We start from the raw sequence: 24,868 nt of genomic DNA, 5'->3' as shown, positions 1-24,868 counted from the left end.
AATAAGAATGTCTTGGCTGGGCGTGGTGGCTCATGCCTGTAATCCCAATACTTTGGGAGGCCACGGCAGGCAGATGACGAGGTCAGGAGATTGAGACCATCCTGGCTAACACAGTGAAACCCCATGTCTACTAAAAATACAAAAAAATTCACCAGGCATGGTGGCAGGCGCCTGTAGTCCCAGCTACTCGGGAGGCTGAGGCAGGAGAATGGCGTGAACCCAGGAGGCGGAGCTTGCAGTGAGCCGAGATTGTGCCACTGGACTCTAGCCTGGGCAACAGAACGAGACTCCATCTCAAAAAAAAAAGAAAGAATGTCTTAAAGAAAAGTAAAAACTTTACCTACAAACCCTCCAGCACACTTCCATTTACTTTTCATTGACTAGAATGGAGTTGCAGTTAAATAGGTACTTCTATCATGGAAATAGGTGTTAGGTCAGCCAGACAGGTCTGTCTACTCCACAAATTAATATTCATGAAGGATTGTTGTTTCTTAAAAAACTGGGTGACTTTCTGAGAGTACATTAGACCATAACCAAAATTAGCTTCAAAACTAAACTTTTTTAAAAATGTAATTTTTAGAATTTGCTTCTTAAATATGAATTTAAACTTCTAAATTTTAAAACTGAATTTAAAAACATTTTATTGGGACCATGAAAAATTACAAAGACATGGAATTTTTTAGCTTGAAGAGACCTTGGATCATCCAGTCCCTTTACATGCTATTAATGTTTCAAAGGTAAATGAAATAAATGGTTTTGTAAAAATCTATTTTTACTTTTTTAGGAAAGAGACATAGATCTTTCCTGTGGCAATGGATCTTCAAAAGTGAAGAAATTTGATACTTCCATTTCATTTCCGCCAGTAAATTTAGAAATTATAAAGAAGCAATTAAATACTAGGTGAGCAATACTCATTTTGAAATTTACATTTGTCCTAGATATTTAATACTAAAGATATAACACTATATTCTTTTAGATTATTAAGTACTGATATTAAACAGACTTATGGGGGGGAAAAAGGATCTCCTGTGTTATCATACTAACACAATTTATTTCATTTTTGTATACACTAGTCCCCCCCATATCTGCATTTTTGCCTTCTATGGTTTCAGTTATCGGTAGTGAAACCATGGTCCAAAAATATTGAATGGAAAATTCCAGAAATAAACAATTCATATGTTTTAAATTGCATGCTGTTCTAAGTAGTGTGATGACATCTTGAGCTGCCCTGCTTCATCCTGCCCAGGATGAGAATCATCCTTTTGTCCAGCATCTCTTTGCTCTGTAAGCCAGCAGCCTGTTAGTCACATAGTAACCATCTCAGTTATCAGATCAACTATTGCAGTATCACAGTGCTTGTGTTCAGGTAACCCTTATTTTACTTAATAATTGCCCCACAGTGCAGGTGTACTGTATGTAATATATAAATTAAACTTTATCATAGTTACCTATGTATAGGGAAAAAACAGCATATATAGGCTTTGGTATTATTTGCATTCACTGGGGGTCTTGGAACCTATCCCCATGATTAAGGGGTGACTACGATATGTCTTTTTAGTCTTTATAACATATTTTACGTGGTTAAAATCAGTAAATACAAAATTCTACTTTTCTATTTAATATGATTATAAGCATTTTTCTATATTACCAAAAAGCCTTTAATTTTTTTAAAAAAACTATCATGTTTGTCCATATAGTTGTTATATCATAATTAAATACTTCTCTGTTGGACATTTTGATCTAGAACAGGAGTCAGCAAGTCGTCTTTTTGTGTAAAAGGCTGGATAGTAAATATTTTAGGCTTTAAGGGCTAGATGATTGCTGTTGTAACTGCTCAACTCTATGTTACAGCATGAAAACAGCCATAGACAATATGTAAACATATAAGCATGTATGTGTTCCAATATAACTTTATTTATAAAAACAAAGGATGGACTGGTAGTTTGCCAGCCCCCTAGAATACAAAGATAACCTTGCATGAGGGATAAAAAAGAGGCAGCAGATCATTGATTTATCGTAGCATTTTATTTTATCTGGATAACTTTATTATATTTTATTTTTTATTAACTAGGTTTTTTATTTTAAAAAGACCATACACTCTCATTGTTAAAAAATAAAATAACCAGTGGAAAGGATATACAGAACGAAGTAAATTACCACCCTCCCTAGAGGAACCCATTGCTACCAGTTTCTTATGTTTTGTTCCAGAAGTGGTCTATATGTATATCTTTATAAGCACATGTATACTTATATATTCCCGTTTTTATACAAAAAAGGACATTATATACCCTGCTCTGTACCTAGTTTTTTCCACATGATATTTACTTACAAGTTCACTGCTATAGTCAAAAATATTCTACTTAACTAAAACATTTTATTAATAATGCCTACTATACATTATTATCTTGATTAATTTCTTAATTCTCACTCTCCTTTATATAAAGCAAAGAAAGATTCTGAAAGACAAATGCAAGAAAACTTGAAGAGAGAATATTTGGCCTAAGCAAGTGCTAAAGGGTTTCCTTTTATTGTGGTGTTCTTTGCTTATCTAGTCTATAAACCCAGATTTATATGATTGTCAGTTTCCTTGGTGGTCTTTGAAAATATTTACATTAGATTGCTACTTTTAAAAGAGTATGAAAAATAAACTAATTTTTATTTTATTTATTTAGATTAACATTACTACAGGAAACTCACCGCTCACACCTGAGGGAGTATGAAAAATACGTACAAGATGTCAAAAGCTCAAAGAGTACCATCCAGAACCTAGAGAGTTCATCAAATCAAGCTCTAAATTGTAAATTCTATAAAAGCATGAAAATTTATGTGGAAAATTTAATTGACTGCCTTAATGAAAAGGTACATATCAATATTTATTTATATCATTTCCTTTTTTGGAGAAAACCCCTTGTGCAATTAAGAAAAGTCTAAATCTCACAATTAGATACTTTTCTCTAGTATTTTTCCTACACATTTTTAAAATAAGATGATAGCATTCTCTTAATGTTGGATATTCAAGTTTTTTGCAACTATTTTATTATTGTAAGTAACATTGTATAAAATTTTGTATATAAATTTTTGTTATAATTTCTTCTGTTTAAGGAAAATTCCTTGAAAATGAAGTCAAATAAAATGAATTATTAAGTCTAAATATTTTTAAGGCTTATGAAACATTACAAAATTGACCTCCAGAAAGATTGTGCCAGTTTTATTAGTTTACTAGATTAGGAATAAATGGATTTTGTTTTTACATATCATATTTTGATCTCAAGCAAACTCTTTGGTTTTCTGCTTGTGAATTATTTGTTTCTTGTCTTTGCCCTTTTATCTTTGTGGTTCTTAGTGGAAATTTTTTTCTTTTTCTTTTCTGGTTTTGTTAGAGTATGAACAATTCTTTATAGCTTAAAATTTTTTAATGTTTTATCCTACTTAATGTGAACTTACCAGTTTTGTCTTTTGAATTTGTTTGTAATGGTTTTTCTTTCAACATTCAGATGTTTTGAAATTTTTGTTTTTAGTTTTTGTTTTATGCATACTAAGTTTTTACATTGGGGCAGGCCTTCAGTTGTCTGTTTTTAAAAATAGATTAACCATTTCAATAAATTATTCTCTACTTTCCACATTTTTGTTATTTTTATTTTATTTATTTTTCTAGTGAGGGGGACAGAGTCTCGCTCTGTCACCCAGGCTGGACTGTAGTAGCACGATCTCAGCTCAATGCAACCTCTGCCTCCTAGGTTCAAGCGATTCTCGTGCCTCAGCCTCCCAAGTAGCTGGGACTACAGGCGTGCACCACCACACCCAGCTAATGTTTTGTATTTTTAGTAGAGACGGGGTTTCGCCATGTTGCCCAAGCTGGTCTGGAACTCCCGAGCTCAGGCAATCCACCTGTCTCAGCCTCCCAAAGTGCTAGGGTTATAGGCCTGAGCCACTGCACTCAGCCCACATTATTTTTTGTTTATAATTAAAACAATGAGATGCTTTGTCCCAATTGTTGTTTTAAGTTGGCTATCTTCTACTATCACTTGGTAGTTACTTTCTGAAGTATTTATTACAATGTAATTTTCTTTTTTCATTTGCCCTTGAAAAATTACACTGTTAAAATTTTGTCAGCCTGTGCATTAATGTACTCATAGCAGCAGCTGTGGAGTATCAATGGAGTAGGAGGAATTGTTGCTCCCCAAAATATGAGAGTTTCAATTTCAACAAGTCTCATTTCTGTATCACATCACAACTTACTTACCTGACTCTGGTTAGTTTTTCTCCATTCCCCGATTTTTCAAATTTCACCAGCTTTGAGTGCCCCCACCTACTTTCCACACCCTCAGCCTGGAAAACATCTGTACCCTTCATTTTTTCCTATTCTTCTGTCTCAAAAAAAAATCTTCTATCTCAAACTTTAATGCATGTTCCTGACTCCATCCCATTTGGTTTCTTTTTTTTTTTTTCTTTTGAGACAGAGCCTCACTCTGTTGCCCAGGCTGGAGTGCAGTGGTGTGATCTCAGCTCACTGTAACCTCCACCTCCAGAGTTCAAGCGATTCTCCTGCCTCAGTCTCCTGAGTAGCTGGGATTGAAGGCAGGTGCCACTGCGCCTGGCTAATTTTTGTACTGTTAGTAGAGAAGGGGTTTCGCTATGTTGGCCAGGCTGGCCTTGAACTCCTGACCTCAGGTGATCTACCCACCTCCCAAAGTGCTGGGATAACAGGCATGAGCTACCACATCCTGGCCCCCATTTAGTTTATCTATCTCTGATAATTGTAACAGTTCCAGTAGACTAAGTCAATTTTCTGATTTTTTAATATTAAAAGTATTGGCAGCTAGGTCTGTTGCACACAATGTTTTATACTTCAGATGTGATAGTATTGGGAATGTTTCTTTGAGAATTAAGCATATAAATATGCTTATGTATCTTCTAAATATTACTTTTATATATATATATATATATATATATTTCATTATCGATGACCTGCAAAATGTTACTTATATGTGTATTTCAGATTATCAACATCCAAGAAATAGAATCATCCATGCATGCACTCCTTTTAAAACAAGCTATGACCTTTATGAAACGCAGGCAAGATGAATTAAAACATGAATCAACGTATTTACAACAGTTATCACGTTAGTGTTTTTCGTGTTCCATACAATTTATTATTCATTAAGCTAAATTATGTGAAGAATAAAAATATTTTTATTTTTATAAACATGTTTTTCATGTATTTTCCCACAAACCCTTTACCCACCAACTTCCAAAAACTCAAAACATTTAGAAATAGGACTTAAGAATGTTTTAAATTAAGTCCAAGACTCAAAAATAAACATGACTTCCAGTTATTTACTATTTCAGACAGAATATGTACATAGCCATTTAGAGAATGTTTTGAGACAAGTTCACATAATTCTGGAGGCTCTGTCAGAAGTCTAACTTCATAGTTTCAGAGCCCTTTTACAGATTGGTTCTGGTGAGTTTCAATACAGATTTTAAGATCTCATTATATAAAATACGGATGCCTCCTCTTTTTTTTTTCGCATTGATTTTGTACTTTCAGAGATATCTTCCTTTGATTAAGGTGCTATCAGGAGATAGTGAAAGACCATAACCAAGTAGCTAGTAAATGCAAAGGCAAAGTGACTTTCAGTGAAACACACAACCCTTAGTGGATCATAAATAATGGTATTACGTATTAAAATAAGAAATAATATGAATAGAATACAGTAATCCCTCTAATCTGCAGTTTTGCTTTCCACAGTTTCAGTCAACAATGGTCCAAAAATGAATAAGTACAGTACAATAAGATATTTTGAGAGAGAGATACCCAACATTCGTATAACTTACAATATATTATTTTCATTGTTCTACTTTATTGCTATTGTTAGTCTCTTACAGTGCCTAATTTATAAATTAAACTTTATCATAGGTGTGTATATAGAGGAAAAAACAAATAGGGTTTGGTGCTATATGCAGTTTCAGGCATCGACTGGGGTTCTTAGAAGGTGTCCCCTGCAGATTAGGGGGGACTCCTGTATTGGCAAAGCCAATATTTCTTGCATTTGGCTATGGAAAAAAACTGGTAGAAACTACTGGAAAAGAATATGAGAAAACGAAACTTTGTGGTAGAACTTTGTTGCTGTTCTCAACAACAGCAAAAGTACACCAGCCAAAGTACATTTTTAGGCTAATGAACCTCATGCCTGTTAATATTGCAATAAAGAGTTAACATTGAAATGTCATTGCATAATTAATTGCAAAATTTAAGCATATTTATGTATTTACATATGCATATGTTTATACATCCATGATATTACCTTTATTTTCAAAGCATTTTACTTTTTTCTTTTGAGAATTTGTAGTATGAAGTCAATTTTATTTATTAACAGGCAAAGATGAGACATCCACAAGTGGAAACTTCTCAGTAGATGAAAAAACTCAGTGGATTTTAGAAGAGATTGAATCTCGAAGGTACCTATATAAAGTGAAGATTTAAAGAAAGCATCATTGAGCAAGTACTTTTCACTACTGAAATATAATTAACCACATGATGTCATTAACTATACCTGATATACATTATTAATTTGTAAGAATAATAGAAAAGCAAAATTTAGTAAAACCACCCTTGACTGCTTTAAAGACACATTGGTGTATTTGGATCAGTTAAAAGGAATGGGTAAAATGACATTTATCAGGCTGGGAATTCCTTGTAACTAGAAACCGGTCCTAATTATAATTACCCCCTCTTCGGAATCTGGTTAGCCCATGGGAATGTCCTAAATGGGAATGTCTTATAAGAGAAAACAAAACAAAACAAAAAATGCAGAACCACCAACTCAAACTAATGAAACTAAAAATGTCAAAAATATTAATAAAATTGTGCGCTGATATGATAGTATATTTCTGGCCATTTAAAATAAATGATAAAATTACTTATTTTCAGCAAGAGGTTAAAAAAAATTTAGGCATTTATTTTCAGCAAGAACTACTTACTTTTTGTTTATTTTTGGTTTGTTGCAAAATATAGGACAAAAAGAAGACAAGCAAGGGTGCTTTCTGGGAATTGTAACCATCAGGAAGGAACATCTAGTGATGATGAACTGCCTTCAGCAGAGATGATTGACTTCCAAAAAAGCCAAGGTCAGTTACCAAGTTTCTAATATATCATGGTTTGAGTTTTGAAATGGTGAGAAACACTTTGCTGGGATTGCCCTTAATAAGTACATAAGCTATATAAAACAGTTGGGTAAATTCAGGAAAAATGAAACACATTTTTCCTCTGTAAGACTCTTTTCTCTGAAAAAATGGAGTAAAATGAAGGAAGGAACATTGTGAGTATTCTTACATCTTCATAGTTTTTTCTCTTAGACGTTCTCCAATTAATAATGAACATCTTCATTTCATTTCTTTACCACACATACTTTCTATATTGTCATTTTTAACTTAAAACATTTGAATTTGGTGAAACTTTTTAGCATGATGAGAAGATGCATATAGTTGAAAAATTCTAGGCTCTGGATTTAAATAAATTTGGGTTCTAAGGGAGATTTTTTTCTGTGTAATCTTAGACAAATTTTTTGACCTCCCTAAATTTGATGTTGTTTTGTCTGTAAATAAGTAGACTATACCTATATGGTATGGAAGATAGCTACGATGGTAAAATGAGATTAATGTATTTCTGCGTATAGCAGGGGTATATATGGTAACTTCTATTAGTGTTGATATTATTACTTTGTTGATAAAGTGATTTAATAAAAATTTATATTAATATAAAAGGACAAATTTTAGCTCAATTGATTACAGTCCATCATGACCGTGTTTTTAAGGAAGCATACTTAAAGTTCACAACTTAAAATGCATAAAGAGACTTATTTTGTTTACAGGTGACATTTTACAGAAACAGAAGAAAGTTTTTGAAGAAGTGCAAGATGATTTTTGTAACATCCAGAATATTTTGTTGAAATTTCAGCAATGGCGAGAAAAGTTTCCTGACTCCTATTATGAAGCTTTCATTAGTTTATGCATACCAAAGCTTTTAAATCCCCTAATACGAGTTCAGTTGATTGATTGGAATCCTCTTAAGGTATTTATGCTTAACATATGAAAAATTATCCTGATTATATTAGTTGCTTAAATTCCCTTACTATTGTGTTAGGCATTAAATACCTTACCCTTAGAGTCGGAGCTGAAATTTAGAGCTTTGGAACAATAGTCAGAAAATGTGTGCTTTCGGCTACATTCTTCTTTTCTTGGCTGTCACTTGATTTTTAGGCTAAGCATCATTAACATCAGTAAAGCAAACACATTTTTTTTTAGCTTCTTGTACATTAAATTTAAAATCCTCCCAGAAAGTATAAGGTACTGTTGGGTTTGGAGAAAGTAGATATAAAAGCCTTGTTTCAAGAATTCTTAAGTTGGAGATGACATACTGGGAAGAGTTGCTTAGGGTTGTGTTGAGAAGGTGGAATGCAAGCCTTTGAAGAGTTTATGGGGTAAACAGGATGAATCAGAAAGGGAAAGGTGTTTCATAAAGGTGTAAAGGGAGAAGTATTAGTTCAGGAGCTAGAAATTGCACAGATATTTAGATCCTAAGTTAAGGAATATAAACTCTGTTCACTGAATTTGACTGACTAAAAGAAAAAAAAAGAAGTATGAACTCAGCAACTGCCTACTGTGTAATAGGACCTTTAACTAAATCACATACAAATTACATATTTATGCTTAGTGAATTGAAGGGGCCAGAAATAAACTTTGCTTGAAGTGGATGAATTTTTTTTATAAACAAATTCCATGGCTGTTTCAAGTGCCTAACAAATTTGTATTTTGCTCCAAGCAGAGTACTTGCCATGTGGTAGGGTCTAAAGGCTCCGGCACACACTAGGTAGTTGTTGAGTGTTTGTTGTGTGATTGAATGCATGAAATGCAGCTTCTTCTTATGTTACTTAGACACCATGTCTCAGTCATGCTGTCCTGCAATCCTGCCTAGCCTTGGTGGTCTAGTGTTAAAATAGGGAATTAATCTCTTCTGATCCTTAGAAAAGCTCTGGTGATTATTGAAAAAAATAATAACTATTTAAAAATACACTAATGTTGAAAGATTTCTTTATAACTTTTGTAATTTTCTTTGTAAGTTGGAATCCACAGGTTTAAAAGAGATGCCATGGTTCAAATCTGTAGAAGAATTTATGGATAGCAGTGTGGAAGATTCAAAGAAGGAAAGTAGTTCAGATAAAAAAGTCTTGTCTGCAATCATCAACAAAACAATTATTCCCCGACTTACAGGTACTGCTTCGTAACCTTGGTAAAATTAAATTATTTTCTGACAGAGTATATAAGGTTGTTAATTTCTGTTATATTCACAAAGTTTTTTCATAAGTTTTTAATCTCAAGGAAATGTTATATGTAGTAAAAATCAACAGCTGTCAAATGTAAGGTGGTTAAAAAATTTGTGTTTGTACAGGTGGTTGGCTACCAAACTGCTAATACTCAGATTGATCACTAATCCTCATCTGACGTATCATCAGCAGTTCCAACAGTTGACCCTTCTTTCTTCCTAGAAACACTGTCTTTACTTGGCTACCAAAATACCACACTCTTAGTTTCCTGCCCACCTCTCTGGTCTTTGCTGTCTGCTTGTCACCTCTTTGACTTCCAAGTGCTACAGTATCTCTGGATTCAGGTCACTTACCTTCTCTGTTCTATTTACTTCAGTCACTTAGTATTTAAAGTCAGTTTAGTGTTTGTGGCATTCCCGCTGCTTTTATGGCACTTCAGTCATTTTTTAGCACACTTCCATCCATACTACATGTGTCCTTTTTTCCCCTTAACTTCTCTAATTGTGTTTCTTATCCTTTTCTTTAAAACCATTGCTTCATCTGGGAGTGGTGGTTCATGCCTGTAATCCTGGAACTTTAGGAGGCCAAGGCAGGTAGATCACCTGAGGTCAGGAGTTCAAGACCAGCCTGGCCACCATGGCGAAACCTCGTCTCTACTAAAAATACAAAAAACTAGCTGGGTGTGGTAGCAGGCACCTGTAATCCCAGCTACTCAGGAGGCTGAGGCAGGAGAATTGCTTAAACCTGGGAGGCGAAGGTTGCGGTGAGCCGAGATCGTGCCATTGCACTCCAGCCTGGGTGACAAGAGTGAAACTCCGTCTCAAAAAAAAAAAAAATTGCTTCATTTCACTCACATTTGCCACTAGCAGCTATGAGCACTTAACATTAATGCTTGTGCTTCAGACCTTAGCATGAAGTCTTTTGTTTTACCTGTGTACTTGATAAGGATCCGTTTCACTATGTCACTGAGAAAGAAATTTGACAGCAAAGACTGCAAAACTCTTATTTAATTTTTTGTGTGTTTGTTTTTGAGACAGGGTCTTCCTCTGTCACCCAGACTGGAGTACAGTGGTGTGAACATTGCTCAAGTCAGTCTTGAATTCCTGGGGTCAAGTGATCCTACTGCCTCAGCCTCCCAATTAGCTAGGACTCCAGGCGCGTGCCACCATACCCAGCTAATTTTTAAAAGATTTTTTTAGAGACAGGGTCTTGCTCTGTTGCCCAGGCTAGTCTCAAACTCCTGGCCTCAAGAGACCCTTCCCCTAAGCTTCCCAAAGCACTGGGATTATAGGCATGAGTCACCATGCCCAGCCTAGAAGTTGGAAGCAATTAGCCTTATAATTGCTTCTTAGGCAACTTGATTATAAGATTTTGGCTGGGTGGAGTTGCTCATGCCTGTAATCCCAGCACTTTGCAAGGCCGAGGCAGAAGGATCGCTTGAGCACAGGAGTTCCAGACCAGCCTTGGCAACGAGGTGAAACCCCATCTCTATTTATAAATTTAAAATTTAAAAAAAATAAAAAATAAAAACTTTCAAGATTTTATTTCAATGAAACTTATGGTGCATTTGTGGGGTGTGTTAGAAAGTTACTATTTTTAACTAACTCTACTAATGATAGAATGCATGTGCCTAGTTTAAGCACTCTGCTGAAAAAATCTAAATACTAATGATGAAACAGTCCCACAAATAAGTAGCTTTGTGAGAAATTAACACTGACTGAGTCCAAATAGTGATTGAATTCTACATATATTTCAAAGATAGCACTAACAGAATGTGCTAATGGATTGGTTGTGCAGCAAGAGAGAAAGAGAGGAATCAAGAATGGGTCCATTGAGGAATTGGCCTGAGCAACTGGAAGGACAGAGGTGCCATTTCCTGAAATGAAAAAGTCTGACAGGAGTAAGCTTAATGTGGGGAGCTGTATTAGCATAGCAGCTCAGTTTGGGACATGTTGATTTTGAAGTACCTGTAATCTAAGTGGACATGTCAAGTCAGTTGTTGAATACATGAGTCTTAAAGGGGGAGGTCCAGTCAGAAGGTATAAGTTTGGAATTTATCCACATGACATTTATTGATGGCATTTAATGTATAAAATTGACTTTGAATACCAAGCGAGTGAATATAAACCGAAAAGAGAAGGTAAGTGACCTGAATCCTGAGATACTATAGCACTGGGAAGTCAAAGAGATGACAAGCAGACAGCAAAGACCAGAGAGGTGGGCAGGAAACTAAGAGTGTGGTATTTTGGAAGCCAAGTAAAGACAGTGTTTCTAGGAAGAAAGAAGGGTCAACTGTTGGAATTGTTGATGATAAGTCAGATGAGGATTAGAATCAATCATTGGAGTTTGCTATGTGAATGTCATCTGTGATTTGCTAAGAGCGCATTAGGTAGGCTGATAAGAGATAAGGCCTAATTAAAGGGAAAGCAAGAACAAGTGAGAAGAGAGAAACTGGAGATAGAAGTTTAGATAGTACTTTGAGGAATTTTGTTGTAAAAGATAGGAGGGAAATGGAACAATACTAGAGGAGGAAGTAGGGCTAAGGGGGATTTTTTGTTTGTTTATTATTATACTTTAAGTTCTGGGGTACATGTGCAGAACGTGCAGGTTTGTTACATAGGTGTACACGTGCCATAGTGTTTGCTGCACTCATCAACTTGTCATCTACATTAGGTATTTCTCCTAATGCTATCCCACCCCAGTCCCCTGACCCCCAAAAGGCCCCGGTGTGTGATGTTCCGCTCCCTGTCCATGTGTTCTCATTGTTCAGCTCCCACTTATGAGTGAGAACGTGCAGTGTTTGGTTTTGTGTTCTGGTGTTAGTTTGCTGAGAATGATGGTTTCCAGCTTCATCCATGTCCATGTCCCTGCAAAGGACATAAACTCATCCTGTTTTATGGCTGCATAGTATTCCATGGTGTACATGTGCCACATTTTCTTAATCCAGTCTATCATTGATGGGCATTTGGGTTGGTTCCAAGTCTTTGCTATTGTGAATAGTGCCACAATAAACATACATGTGCATGTGTCTTTATAGCAGCATGAATTTATAATCCTTTGGGTATATACTCAGTAATAGCATGGCTGGGTTAAATGGTATTTCTAGTTCTAGATCCTTGAGCAGTCGCCACACTGTCTTCCACAATGGTTGAACTAGTTTACAGTCCCACCAACAGTGTAAAAGTGTTCTATTTCTCCACATCCTCTCTTTTAATTGTGATGTTAGGATGTCGATTTTAGATCTTTCCTGCTTTCTGTTGTGGGCATTTAGTGCTATAAATTTCCCTCTACACACTGCTTTAAATGTGTCCCAGGGATTCTGGTACGTTGTGTGTTTGTTCTCATGGTTTCAAAGAACATCTTTACTTCTGCCTCCATTTCTTTATTTACCCAGTAGTCATTCAGGAGCAGGCTGTTAAGTTTCCATATAGTTGTGCGGTTTTGAGTGAGTTTCTTAATCTTGAGTTCTAATTTGATTGTACTGTGGTCTGAGAGACTGTTTGTTATGATTTCCATTCTTTTGCATTTGCTGAGGAGTGTTTTACTTCCAATTATGTGGTCAGTTTTAGAATAAGTGTGATGTGGTGCTAAGAAAAATGTATATTCTGTCGATTTGGGGTGGAGAGTTCTATAGATGTCTATTAGGTCTGCTTGGTCCAGAGCTGAGTTCAATTCCTGGATATCTTTGTTAATTTTCTGTTTCATTGATCTGTCTGTTATCGACAGTGGGATGTTAAAGGCTCCCACTATTATTGTGTGGGAGTCTAAGTCTCTTTGTAGGTCTCTAAGAACTTGCTTTATGAATCTGATCTGAGTGCTGCTGTATTGGGTGCGTATTTATTTAGGATGGTTAGCTCTTACTGTTGCACTGATCCCTTCACCATTATGTAATACCCTTCTTTGTCTCTTTTGATCTTTGCTGGCTTAAAGTCTGTTTTATCAGAGACTAGGACTGCAACTCATGCTTTTTTTTCTTTTTTCTTTTTTTTTTTTTTTTTTTTTGCTTTCCATTTACTTGGTAAATATTCCTCCATCCCTTTATTTTGAGCCAGTGTGTGTCTCTTTACATGAGATGGGTCTCCTGAATACAGCACATTGATGGGTCTTGACACTTTATTCAATTTGCCAGTCTGTGTCTTTTAATTGGGGCTTTTAGCCCATTTACTTTTAAAGTTAATATTGTTATGTGTGAATTTGATCCTGTCATTATGATGCTAGCTGGTCATTTTGCTCATTAGTTGACGCAGTTTCTTCATAGCGTTGATGGTCTTTACAATTCGGTATGTTTTTGCAGCGTCTGGTACCAGTTGTACCTTTCCATGTTTAGCGCTTCCTTCAGGAGCTCTTGTAAGGCAGGCCTGGTGGTGACAAAATCTCTCAGCATTTGCTTGTCTGTAAAGGATTTTATTTTTCCTTTGCTTATGAAGCTTAGTTTGGCTGGATATGAAATTCTGGATTGAAAATTCATTTCTTTAAGAATGTTGAATATTGGCCCCCAGTCTCTTGTAGCTTGTAGGGTTTCTGCAGAGAGATCCGCTGTTAGTCTGATGGGCTTCCATTTGTGGGTAACCCAACCTTTCTTTCTGGCTGCCCTTAACTTTTTTTCCTTCATTTCAACCTTGGTGAATCTGACAATTATGTGTCTTGGGGTTGCTCTTCTCGAGGAGTATCTTTGTGGTGTTCTCTGTATTTCCTGAATTTGAATGTTGGCCTGCCTTGCTGTGTTGGGGAAGTTCTTCCGGATAATGTCCTGAAGAGTGTTTTCCAACTTGGTTCCATTCTCCCCATCACTTTCAGGTACACCAATCAAACATAGATTTGGTCTTTTCACATAGTCCCATATTTCTTGGAGGCTTTGTTTGTTTCTTTTCACTTTTTTCTCTAAACTTGTCTTCTCGCTTTATTTCATTGAGGTGATCTTCAGTCTCTGATATCCTTTCTTCCACTTGATCGATTCAGCTATTGATACCTGTGTATGCTTCACGACATTCTCATGCAGTGTTTTTCAGCTTCATCAGGTCATTTGTATTCTTCTCTAAACTGGTTATTTTAGTTAGCAATACCTCTAACCTTTTTTCAAGGTTCTTAGCTTCCTTCCATTGGGTTAGAACATGCTCCTTTAGCTCAGAGGAGTTTGTTATTACCCACCTTCTGAAGCCTACTTCTGTCACTTCGTCAAACTCATTCTCCATCCGGTTTTGTTCCCTTGCTGGTGATGAGTTGTGATTCTTTGAAGAACGGGCATTCTGGTTTTTGGAATTTTCAGCCTTTTTGCACTGGTTTCTCCCCATCTTTGTGGATTTATCTACCTTTGGTCTTTGATGTTGGTGACCTTCAGATGGGGTCTCTTAGGGTACATCCTTTTTGTTGATGCTGATACTATTCTTTTCTGTTTGTTAGTTTTGCTTTTAACAGTCAGGCCCCTCAGCTGTAGGTCTGCTGGAGTTTGCTGGAGGTCCACTCCAGACCCTGTTTGCCTGGGTATCACCAGCGGAGGCTGCAGAACAGCAAAGATTGCTGCTTGTTCCTTCCTCTGGAAGCTTCGTCTCAGAGGGTCATCCGCCAGATGCCAGGCAGAGCTCTCCTCTGTGAGGTGTCTGTCGGCCCCTACTGGGAGGTGTCTCCCAGACAGGATACACAGGGGTCAGGGACCCACTTGAGGAGGCAGTGTGTCCCTTAGCAGAGCTCGAACACTGTGCTGAGAGAACCACTGCTGTCTTCAGAACTGTCAGGCAAGGACGTTTAAGTCTGCTGAAGCTGCGCCCACAGCCACCCCTTTCCCCAGGTGCTCTGTCCATGGAAGATGGGGGTTTTATCTCTAAGTCCCTGACTGGGGCTGCTGGCTTTTTTCAGAGATGCTCTGCCCAGAGAAGAGGAGTCTAGAGAGGCAGTCTGGCCGCAGTGGCCTTGCTGAGCTTCGGTGGGCTCTGCCCAGGTCGAACTTCCCGGTGGCTTTGTTTACACTGTGAGGCATAAACCGGCTACTGAAGCCTCAGCAGTGGCGGACACCCCTCCGCCTACCAAGCTGAAGCATCTCAGGTTGGGCTCAGACTGCTGTGCTGGCAGTGAGAATTTCAAGTCAGTGGATCTTAGCTTGCTGGGCTCCGTGGGGGTGGGACCCACCAAGCCAGACTACTTGGCTCCCTGTCTTCAGCCCCTTTTCCAGGGTGGTGAATGGTTCTGTTTCTCTGGCGTTCCAGGTGCCACTGGGGTATGAAAAAATAAAAATTAAAAAAAAAGCCTGCAGCTAGTTTGATGTCTGCCCAAACAGCCACCCAGTTTTGTGCATGAAACCCACAGCCCTGGTGGGGTAGGCACTGGAGGGAATCTCCTGGTCTGCCGGTTGCGAAGACCGTGGGAAAAACACAGTATCTGGGCTGGAGTGCACTGTTCCTCCTGGCACGGTTTCTCGTGGCATCCCTTAGATAAGGGAGAGAATTCCCCAACCCCTTGTGCTTCCCAGGTGAGGCAACACCCAACCTTGCTTCAGCTCACCCTCTGTGGGCTGCACCCACTGTCCAACCAGGCCCAATGAGATGAACTGGGTACCTCAGTTGGAAATGCAGAAATCACCGGCCTTCTACGTCCATCTCGCTGGGAGCTGTAGACTGGAGCTGTTCCTATTCGGCCATCTTGGCAGCCTCCTTACACTGAGGGGGATTATTTTTAATACAAGATAAATAGTTGTTTGTAGGGTGATGGAAAAAATCTAGTACAAGTGATGTCAATACCAAAGTGGAAGGACAGTGTTCTGGGAACAGGATCTTAGACTAAGCCAAAAGGCTTGGGATCTCATCCACAAAATAAACAGTTTGCCTGAAGTGGTGGGAGTGTGGGTGCCTCATCCATAGGAATAGGAGACAAGTTAGAGCATATCGGCACAGATGTAGGTAGGTGTGTAGATGCTGTGGTAGGAGCTTCATAGTGCTGCTTTTCTGATTGCTTCTATTTTCTTAGCAAATTAGGAAGTAATTAGCTGAAAGAGAATGCAAGGGAGTAGAAAAAATAAAGTAGGAAATAATCATCTAGAAGGAAAAAGTCCATCAACTGAGAGAGAGATAACGGAGAGGGGAGAAGGTATGAAGTAATCATCTAGGTGAGAGGGAGAGTGAATGGACCTGAGAGACAGAGAGAGAGAGAGGCTCACTCAAGTTGTATAGTGATCAAGTTAATGTGTTTGTTTTTCCAGCCACTTTTTATCTGCATGGTTGCAGGCAGAGACTCAGTGACAAGGTGAACTTAACTATAAAGAGCTGTAGTTTAGCCAGAGGAGTTTAACAAAGCCCAAGAAGAACAAGGAAATTGAAGATGTATGCAAATATGTAATGGTAATAATTGGCCATGGAACTTAAACTGAATAAGGAGGGAAGTAGTGTTTGTTAAAGGTCTTGATTATTTGTATATGAAAAGCAAAACAATCTAGTAAATACATTGTGTACCACTGAAATATTTGTTTCAGACTTTGTAGAATTCCTTTGGGATCCTTTGTCAACCTCACAGACAACAAGTTTAATAACACATTGCAGAGTGATTCTTGAAGAACATTCCACTTGTGAAAATGAAGTTAGTAAAAGCAGACAGGTAATAATTTCTAGAGTTGCGAACTCCATGATCTATCTCTAAATCATTATAATTTTCTTACAGATCTTGGTTTATAAAAGATGCAGAAGTGATTATCAGAAAACTGTTTGGGGGAAAACATATTTACTTTTGATTTATAGAAACTAGACTTTTTCTCAGACTGCACTGAGATGAAAAAAAAATTTTTTAAACTGGACTTGGCTATTTTTTATCTTTATAATAATAAGATGAAAGAATATACCTTGATACTTCTCAACACTGTGATAGGAGTGGTAATCATTTTAAATTATAGACATACATGTAAGGACCCAGATTATGACTTTCATTCCTATTAGCTTACTTTTCTCTGTTCAGTGATCTGATTTGTGTTCTCATGGCCCAGGCAGCCATCTTTCAGGATTATGAATATACACTGGCCCTGCAGAGATGAACCGGTATAAATTCATTAGTGCAAATTCATTTCTTCTAAAGGAAGACAACAATACTCATTACCTTTGTTCTTTTGGCAAAAATCCAGTGGCATTGTGGCTTTGCTTGAACAATGGTTTCAAAATTAGACTGACACTTATTGTATTAACTAGTTATTTGTAGTCTACCAAATAATAGTAGTCTCTTTAAGGATTCAAAGTTCAGTAAAACAGATCTTAATCTTACAATGATCTAGAATTGAATTCAGTGAACATAAGACATATTGGGGAACTTTTTAGAGTGATGTTGCTGAGAATCTTCTCACTCTTTCATTGTAGCATTTTTTTTTATTGTTTGTTGATGAGATTGTAGATTCATGCAGTTTTATGAGTAAACCAATTTTAGGTTGAGCTTTAGGAAATTAAGGAGAAATTGACAGACTGGAGAATGCCCGGAGTAGAATGACAGAGGTGGTTGAAAAGCAAGGAGGCATATCATATTCATATTATGAGCACCATTAAGTTTTAGCCCTTGGAACTGTGATTACAAAGGAGGATAGCTGTAAGAAATGAAAGGGAGAAAAGGGATACCAGCCTAATTCTGCCTTCAAGAAGCATGTAATCTCAGAGAAAATAAGATGCACATAAACTGTAACTTAAAACTGGAAGTGAAAAGGAGAAGTAGGGAAGATAACAAACACTTATTTAATTCCAATTGTGTACTAGGCACTCTGTAAGGTCTTGTACCTGTCATCTTAATCCCAGCAGCCCTATTTAAAAAATGGGTGATCGCCAGGTATGGCAGATCACGCCTGTATATCTGAGTGCTTTGGGAGGCTGAGGCAGGAGGATCTCTTCAGGCCAAGAGTTCAAGACCAGCCTGGGCATCATAGCAAGATCCATCTCTACCAAAAAAATAAAAATTAGCTGGGCTCCCCCTTGAGCCCAGGAGTTGAAGCTGCATTGAGCCTTGATTGTGCCACCACACTGCAGCCTGGGCAACAGCAAAACCCTGTCTCTTAAAAGGATGACAGCCTCATTTTATAGATGAAGAAAATGAATCTTTAAAACTAGTTGTCACAGTGCTACTATGAATGAGCACTAGGATTTGAACTTGGATAGTCTGCCTCTAAAGCCCAAGTTTGCCTCACTGACCATGTTGCCTCCCCTTGAGCAGCATAGATAAAGTACTGTGTCTTCAGGAGAGAGACAGGAGAGAGAGGTTACCTTCAGCAGTGGGGATAAGGAAATAATTTATCTTAGGGGTGGCATTTGAACTGTGGCTTGAGGGAAAGAATAGGATTTCAACATGTGGCAACAGAGAGAGAGGCATTTTCTGCTTACCTCCAATAGGATAAAAACTCAAGTAAAATAGATGGAAACTGTTGCAGGAATTAGAGATATTTAATTTGAAAGATGTACAGAGAGATGCTGTTTGTATTCAAAGAAGGTATAGATTTATTCTGTGCTGTTATGCAGCATAGAACCAAGATTAGTAGTTAAAAGCTACAAAGAAGCAGATATATAATCCTGCATTTGCTTTCCATATAGTATTGTTTAGTTATAACCTAAATGTAAATCATTATGCTTTACCATTTGTTAAATACTTTCACATTGTCTCATTTGATCCTCATAACCCTGTGAAATGTATTTATTTTAATTGCATTTTTACAGATGAAGCTGGGGCCCAGAAGGGTTAAGTCATTTTTGAAATACTTGAATACTAAGTGGTAGACCTGGCTCTTTGTGATCACTGAAGCCCTTCAGCAGTATTATGGATTCACTCATGAAGTCTTTTTTTTTTTTTTGAGGCGGAGTCTTGCTCTGTCACCCAGGCTGGAGTGCAGTGGTGTGATCTTGGCTCACTGCAACCTCCGCCTCCCAGGTTCAAGCAATTCTCCTGCCTCAGCCTCCCGAGTAGCTGGGACTACAGGCACCTGCCACCATGCCTGGCTAATTTTGTGTGCTTTTAGTAGAGACGGGGTTTCACTGTATTAGCCAGGATGGTATTGATCTCCTGACCTTGTGATCCGCCCACCTCGGCCTCCCAAAGTGCTGGGATTACAGGCAAACTCAAGCAGTTTTTATAATGGATGTTTTTATTCTGAAACCGCTCTGCTGTGAATGTAGAAAATGGGTTGTTTTCATAAGCAGGAGAATAGATTACATCAGGGTTTTCAGTCTCAGCACTACATTGGCATTTGGAACAGATAATTTTTTGTTGTGAGGGTTTGTCCTGTGCACTATAGTATGCTTAGCAGCATCCCTGGCTTGTGCCCACTAGGTGGCAGTAGCACTCCCCGGTCTTCACAACCAAAAATGTCTACACATTGTCAGGTATTCCCTAGGGATGGCAAAATGGCACTTGGTAGAGAATCACTTACACTATATAATGCCCCATGTTGCTAAGACAGTTCACCAGTGGGATCACTCCATTTCTTCAGTGATGAAAGAGAATGAGGTTCAAGAATGAAAATTGAGTCAGACAACATAGTTTCTGTTTTCAAAGTTAGAAGGAAATGCTGTAAGCTAATGCCTGGTAATAATAGTTTTGATTCTGACTAAAAATCTAAAGTAAATTATTATAGAGGAAGATTATGAATACTTAAATTTAAAAAGCAGTAATTACTATAATCTGTCATTGATAGGATTCCCAAATACAAATGATACTTAACATTGTTTATTGAAGCAAATTGTTATTATGATTGTTCTTAGGGATTAAATGGGGAAATATAAGCTTAAGTAAACCTAAAAAATAATGGCCAGTAGGGCATTGGCTACCTATGGGGAGTCTGTTAGTATTAGATATCTTCTCAGCTTTGCCCTGTTCAATATTTTTATTGAACTGGATAAGGAGTTAAAATACATACTAATGAAATGTGTCAGTGACAAAAAGCTAGGAATTCTGTAAGACTTGTGGATGGTAGAATTAGAATCCAAGAAGATTTCAAAAGATTGTAGAAAATTGACTGATTCAAGAAATTGTGAAAAAATAAATGCATGTCCCACCCATGCGTTTAAAAATTCAACTATATAAGTAAAAGATGAGAGAGACACAGTTTTGAAGCAGCATAAGTAAGACAGATTATAATCAATAAACCCAGCGTGAGTCAGCAGTGTCACTTGAGTAACAGAAAACAGGTACATGGGAGTTTCTCCTAGTATGTGTGTGCTATTTTGAGTAAGAATGGCATATTTGGTGATAATACCCACAGATTAGACCTTCCTGGGAATATTGCATTTAATTTTCGGTGTAAGCATATTAAGTGGAGAGTGTCTTAAGATAGTATGGGAAAGAGAAGATGTAAAAAAAAAAAAAGTATGATATTCATCTTAAAATCTAGAAAATTGTCATGTGGAAGTGGGGCTAGTTCTATTCTATATGATCCCAAGAAGTAAACCAAGACCAAGGAGTGGAAGCTGTGGGAGGGAAAAGTTTGTTAACTCTCATTGTTAACTGAAATCTAATAGTCCAAAGTTATGGGCAGCCTCAGGAGATAATGATCCCCTATCAGCAAATGGTTTTAGACATGGCTGGTGGACCATTTAGTAGAAATGTGAAAATAAGTCTAAACATCACTTGGGAGTTCAGATAGATTTTCAGACTCATTTTTTGTTTTTTCTTTTTTATCAACAGAATCTATTTCAAATAAATCTTACGCAATCCGATACGCAAACACACATACAGAAGTAAAACTGCTCCTACTGTTGTGAGCACCTGCCTTTATTCTTCCCCAACCATCCCCAACATTTGTCCAGGCCATCCTGGGATTACCTCCATGGATATAGAGAACAGCATAAAAACCATTGGCATCACACAAGTGCCTCTTTAAAGCTGTTTCAAAGTATATATATATACACAAAGGGTTGTATGTGAGTCTGAAAGTGTGATTCAGAATGCTTGTTAAAACTGTTTGGAGAACCTTATTTTCCATCAAACAAATGATGTTATTTAATACTTAGAAAAGTTAATATCTCACGGTTTTAAAATATGTGAATTTATGGGAGGTTTCTTTTCTTTTTTTTGTTTTTTTTTTTTTTTTTGACAGAACCTTACTCTGTCACCCAGGCTGGAGTGCAGTGGTGCAATCTCAGCTCACTGCAACCTCCACCTCCTGTGTTCAAGCGATTCTTGTGCCTCAGCCTGCCAAGCAGCTGGGATTACAAGCATGTGCCACCATGTGTGGCTAATTTTTTCTATTTTTAGTAGAGACAGGGTTTCACCATGTTGGCCAGGCTGGTCTCAAACTCCTGGCCTCAAGTGACCCACCCACCTCAGCCTCCCAAAGTGCTAGGATTACAGGCATGAGCCACGGCAACCGGCCAGTGAATTTATGTTTTGTTTTAAACAATTTATTTGGAAATATTAATACTTTGAAAGAAAACTTTCATGAATAAGAGTAGTATTTCCATATTCCCTTTACCAAGATTTACTTGTCATTAATATTTTGCCCCATTGGCTTTATCATTAGCCCTTCCATTTTAAATATATACATACAATATGTTTTCTCCTGAGTACTGAGAACAGGGTGCATATTTGTTAAGACAAGGATATTATGTTATATAACCAGAGTAGTTAGCAATTTCAGTAAATTTATCAACACTTAATCTACCATCCATATTCCACTTTTGCCAGTTGATTCAATAATGTCCTTTATAACATTTTCAATAGAACTATTTTAAGAAACAAAATTTAAACAATATGGGAACATTTGTCAAGGCCAGCATCCAAAATCATTAAAATTAAATGAAAAAAATCAAAGCAGCTTTTTTTGTATCATGAACACCTAACTCAGTAAGTTACATAAACTCAGATGCTATTTTTTGGAGATACTGTCTAGAAAATGCTTTTTTTTCTTTGAACAGAATTCAGAATGTTTAAAGAATGGAGTAAAATACAACTGAGTTTTAATTTTTAACATTAAATAAATGTTGATATATGGCCACTTGAGGAATATGTTATAGATAATTAAGTGGAAAGAGAAACGACTTCAGGTCATGCTTTTTAAGAAAAATATATTTGAATTCTACATTTATGGATAATTCAGTTAGTATATAGTATGTGACAGTTGAATTTGTGCTGTATACATTGTCATTGACTTAAAAATTAACTTTTACTCTAATGTGTAGTATGCCATTTTTATTTTTCAAATATGAATAAGAATATCATTATATAAATAATATAAATATTGCTAATATATGAAAAAAATAAACACTCATTGTCTTTCATCCTAGTACAAGGATTAATACCATCGTAGGATATTTTCATCCTGGCTTTTTTTTCAAAGTTATAATCCTAATAGGCATGTAAGTTAGTATACTACTTCTGCTTAATGTTATCTCATTGCGTATTTATAGTTGTCTGTTACTGTAGTCATCATAATCTTCAGCTAAAGTTTATGATAGATTCACTGGAGCGATGTAACATCTCCTTAAAATTCCCTGTGATTGAATAGTTTGGTCATTTCCAATTTTTTTATGTACAAACAAAATGGATTTCCCTAAGTGGATTTTCCAACAAAGGACCCACAGCTGGAGTATATAAAAGACTTGTACAAATCAGTAATAAAAAGACAGAACCTAATACAAAAAAATAGCAATGTTGGCAAGCAGCTTAATTAGGTACTTTGCAAAACGGCTTGCCAAGTGGCAAATAGGAATATGAAAAGATGCCCAACAGCACATTACTCAATGATAATTAAATGAGAATTAAAACAACAAAATGAAATATGACTGCATACCCACTATAATTGCAAACATTAAAAAACAAGAAAATGCCAATTATCGTAAGTATGTAGTGAAACAGGATTTATTTTATACTGCAGGAATGATGTAAATGGGATGCCACTATTCTAGAAACCGTTTGGTTTTTTGTACGTAGTTGAACGTATGGACATGAACTGTACTCCAGCCATTCCATTTCTATTTATATACCCATTAGAAATGTATGACCATGCATACTAAATGACATGTACAAGAATTTTTATGGCAGCATTATTTATAATAGCCACCAAACCAGAAATCACCTAAGTGTTCCATCAATAGTATTCATGCAACAAAATACTATATAGCAATGAAATTGATCCAACTATACCCATATGTAGCAACATGGATAAATAAGGTTTTTTTTGTACCCAATTGATAGTTATTTTAACAGCTGGTTATGTGAGTGTGGATAAATTTGTACTGCAGTTAAAATTACTTTTTTTTTGGTAAATACATTTCTATCTTCTATCACTGATGCTTTTCAAATTTGTAATAATAGGATTTACTTAAATCCATTGTTTCAAGAATGAAAAAGGCAGTAGAAGATGATGTTTTTATTCCTCTGTATCCAAAGAGGTAAGCGCTGTTAATTTCTAGATTGTTGGAAATAGCTGATCATAGAATACAGATTTGTTTAAGAATGCAATGCAAAAGAAACTACAGTGTTTTATTTTTTGTTTTGTTTTTTGTGTTTCTTTTTTTTTTTTCTTTTGAGACTGAGTCTCACTCTGTCGCCCAGGCTGGAGTGCAGTGGCGCGATCTCGGCTCACTGCAAGCTCCGCCTCCCAGGTTCACGCCATTCTCCTGCCTCAGCCTCCCATGGCTGGGACTACAGGCGCCCGCCACCACGCCCGGCTAATTTTTTGTATATTTAGTAGAGATGGGGTTTCACCATGTTAGCCAGGATGGTCTCGATCTCCTGACCTTGTGATCCGCCCGCCTTGGCCTCCCAAAGTGCTGGGATTACAGGCGTGAGCCACCGCGCCCGGCCAACTATAGTGTTTTCAAAACATGTGTACACATACTCTATGAGGATGCAAATTGAGATTTCAACAAATATTTCTCAGTGACTTACATAAAGCCGTGCTTTATCTTGGCGCTTAGATGAATTTTGTTTGGTTGGTTTTGGTTTTGGTTTTACATATATCCTAGGAACATAGCAGGTGATATAGAGTGGTAAAGAGCACACGTCCACTGTTAGTAGGTATTTTTATGCACTTGTTTTCTCATCTATAAAATAAGGATAAAATTAGTGCCTACCTCACAGGATATTAGGGAGATGAAGAGAATGCTCAGAACACAACAGGGCCTAGCACAGAGGAAGCACAATGCTGAGGAACGAGAAACTGCACCTGTAAATTCTGCAGTCACTTTAAATTATAAAACGAGTATTTGATGTATGATCATAACTTTGCTAAGAAGCCATCAGTTATAATGATGCATGAACTGTAGCAATCCAGTGAGTAGTGACAGGATGGAGGAGCTTTATGGAGGGGGAAGAAAGGAACCTCAAAGCTTTCTGATTCATTTTGAATCATGAGATGTCTACATGTAAAAATTCTGCCTTGGTAAACTTTGTTTATAATGTTTTAGATAATGCATTCACATGGTTCAGATGTATGAATGTGATATATTAGTTATTTGTTTATAAATATATATTTTATAAACATATTTATAAATATATAAATATATATTTTATAAACATATTTATAAATATATAAATATATATTTTATAAACATATTTATAAATATATAAATATATATTTTATAAACATATTTATAAATATA

General features: G+C 36.7%; 1 protein-coding gene and 1 long non-coding RNA gene across 11 annotated transcripts in view; one reads left to right on the top strand and one right to left on the bottom strand.

Annotated features, from left to right (window-relative positions):
- The window catches only part of GCFC2 (GC-rich sequence DNA-binding factor 2), a 50,418-nt gene that overhangs the window by 16,023 nt on the left and 9,527 nt on the right, over nt 1-24,868 (top strand). For 7 of the 10 annotated variants that reach the window (XM_047445615.1, XM_011533074.4, NM_001410845.1 and 4 more), the window contains 9 exons: nt 785-900; nt 2,673-2,859; nt 5,000-5,123; nt 6,381-6,462; nt 7,019-7,131; nt 7,875-8,074; nt 9,123-9,273; nt 16,786-16,907; nt 23,580-23,656. In XM_047445615.1, the coding sequence (XP_047301571.1) occupies nt 785-900; nt 2,673-2,859; nt 5,000-5,123; nt 6,381-6,462; nt 7,019-7,131; nt 7,875-8,074; nt 9,123-9,273; nt 16,786-16,907; nt 23,580-23,656 (1,172 nt within the window). Of the gene's footprint in view, nt 1-784; nt 901-2,672; nt 2,860-4,999; nt 5,124-6,380; nt 6,507-7,018; nt 7,132-7,874; nt 8,075-9,122; nt 9,274-16,785; nt 16,908-23,579; nt 23,657-24,868 lie in introns of those variants that run through there. The other 3 variants (XR_007080682.1, XM_011533075.3, XM_017004787.3) reach the window with 3 other exon arrangements.
- Nucleotides 5,129-24,784, bottom strand: LOC124906025 (uncharacterized). Its single transcript, XR_007087113.1, has 2 exons — nt 17,248-24,784; nt 5,129-6,466 (listed from the first exon to the last, which is right to left on the bottom strand). It is a non-coding gene; the product is annotated as an uncharacterized LOC124906025 (long non-coding RNA).

Source organism: Homo sapiens, chromosome 2, assembly GCF_000001405.40.
Source record: "Homo sapiens chromosome 2, GRCh38.p14 Primary Assembly".
Lineage (NCBI taxonomy): Eukaryota > Metazoa > Chordata > Mammalia > Primates > Hominidae > Homo > Homo sapiens.
This window is presented reverse-complemented; position numbering and strand designations above follow the sequence as displayed.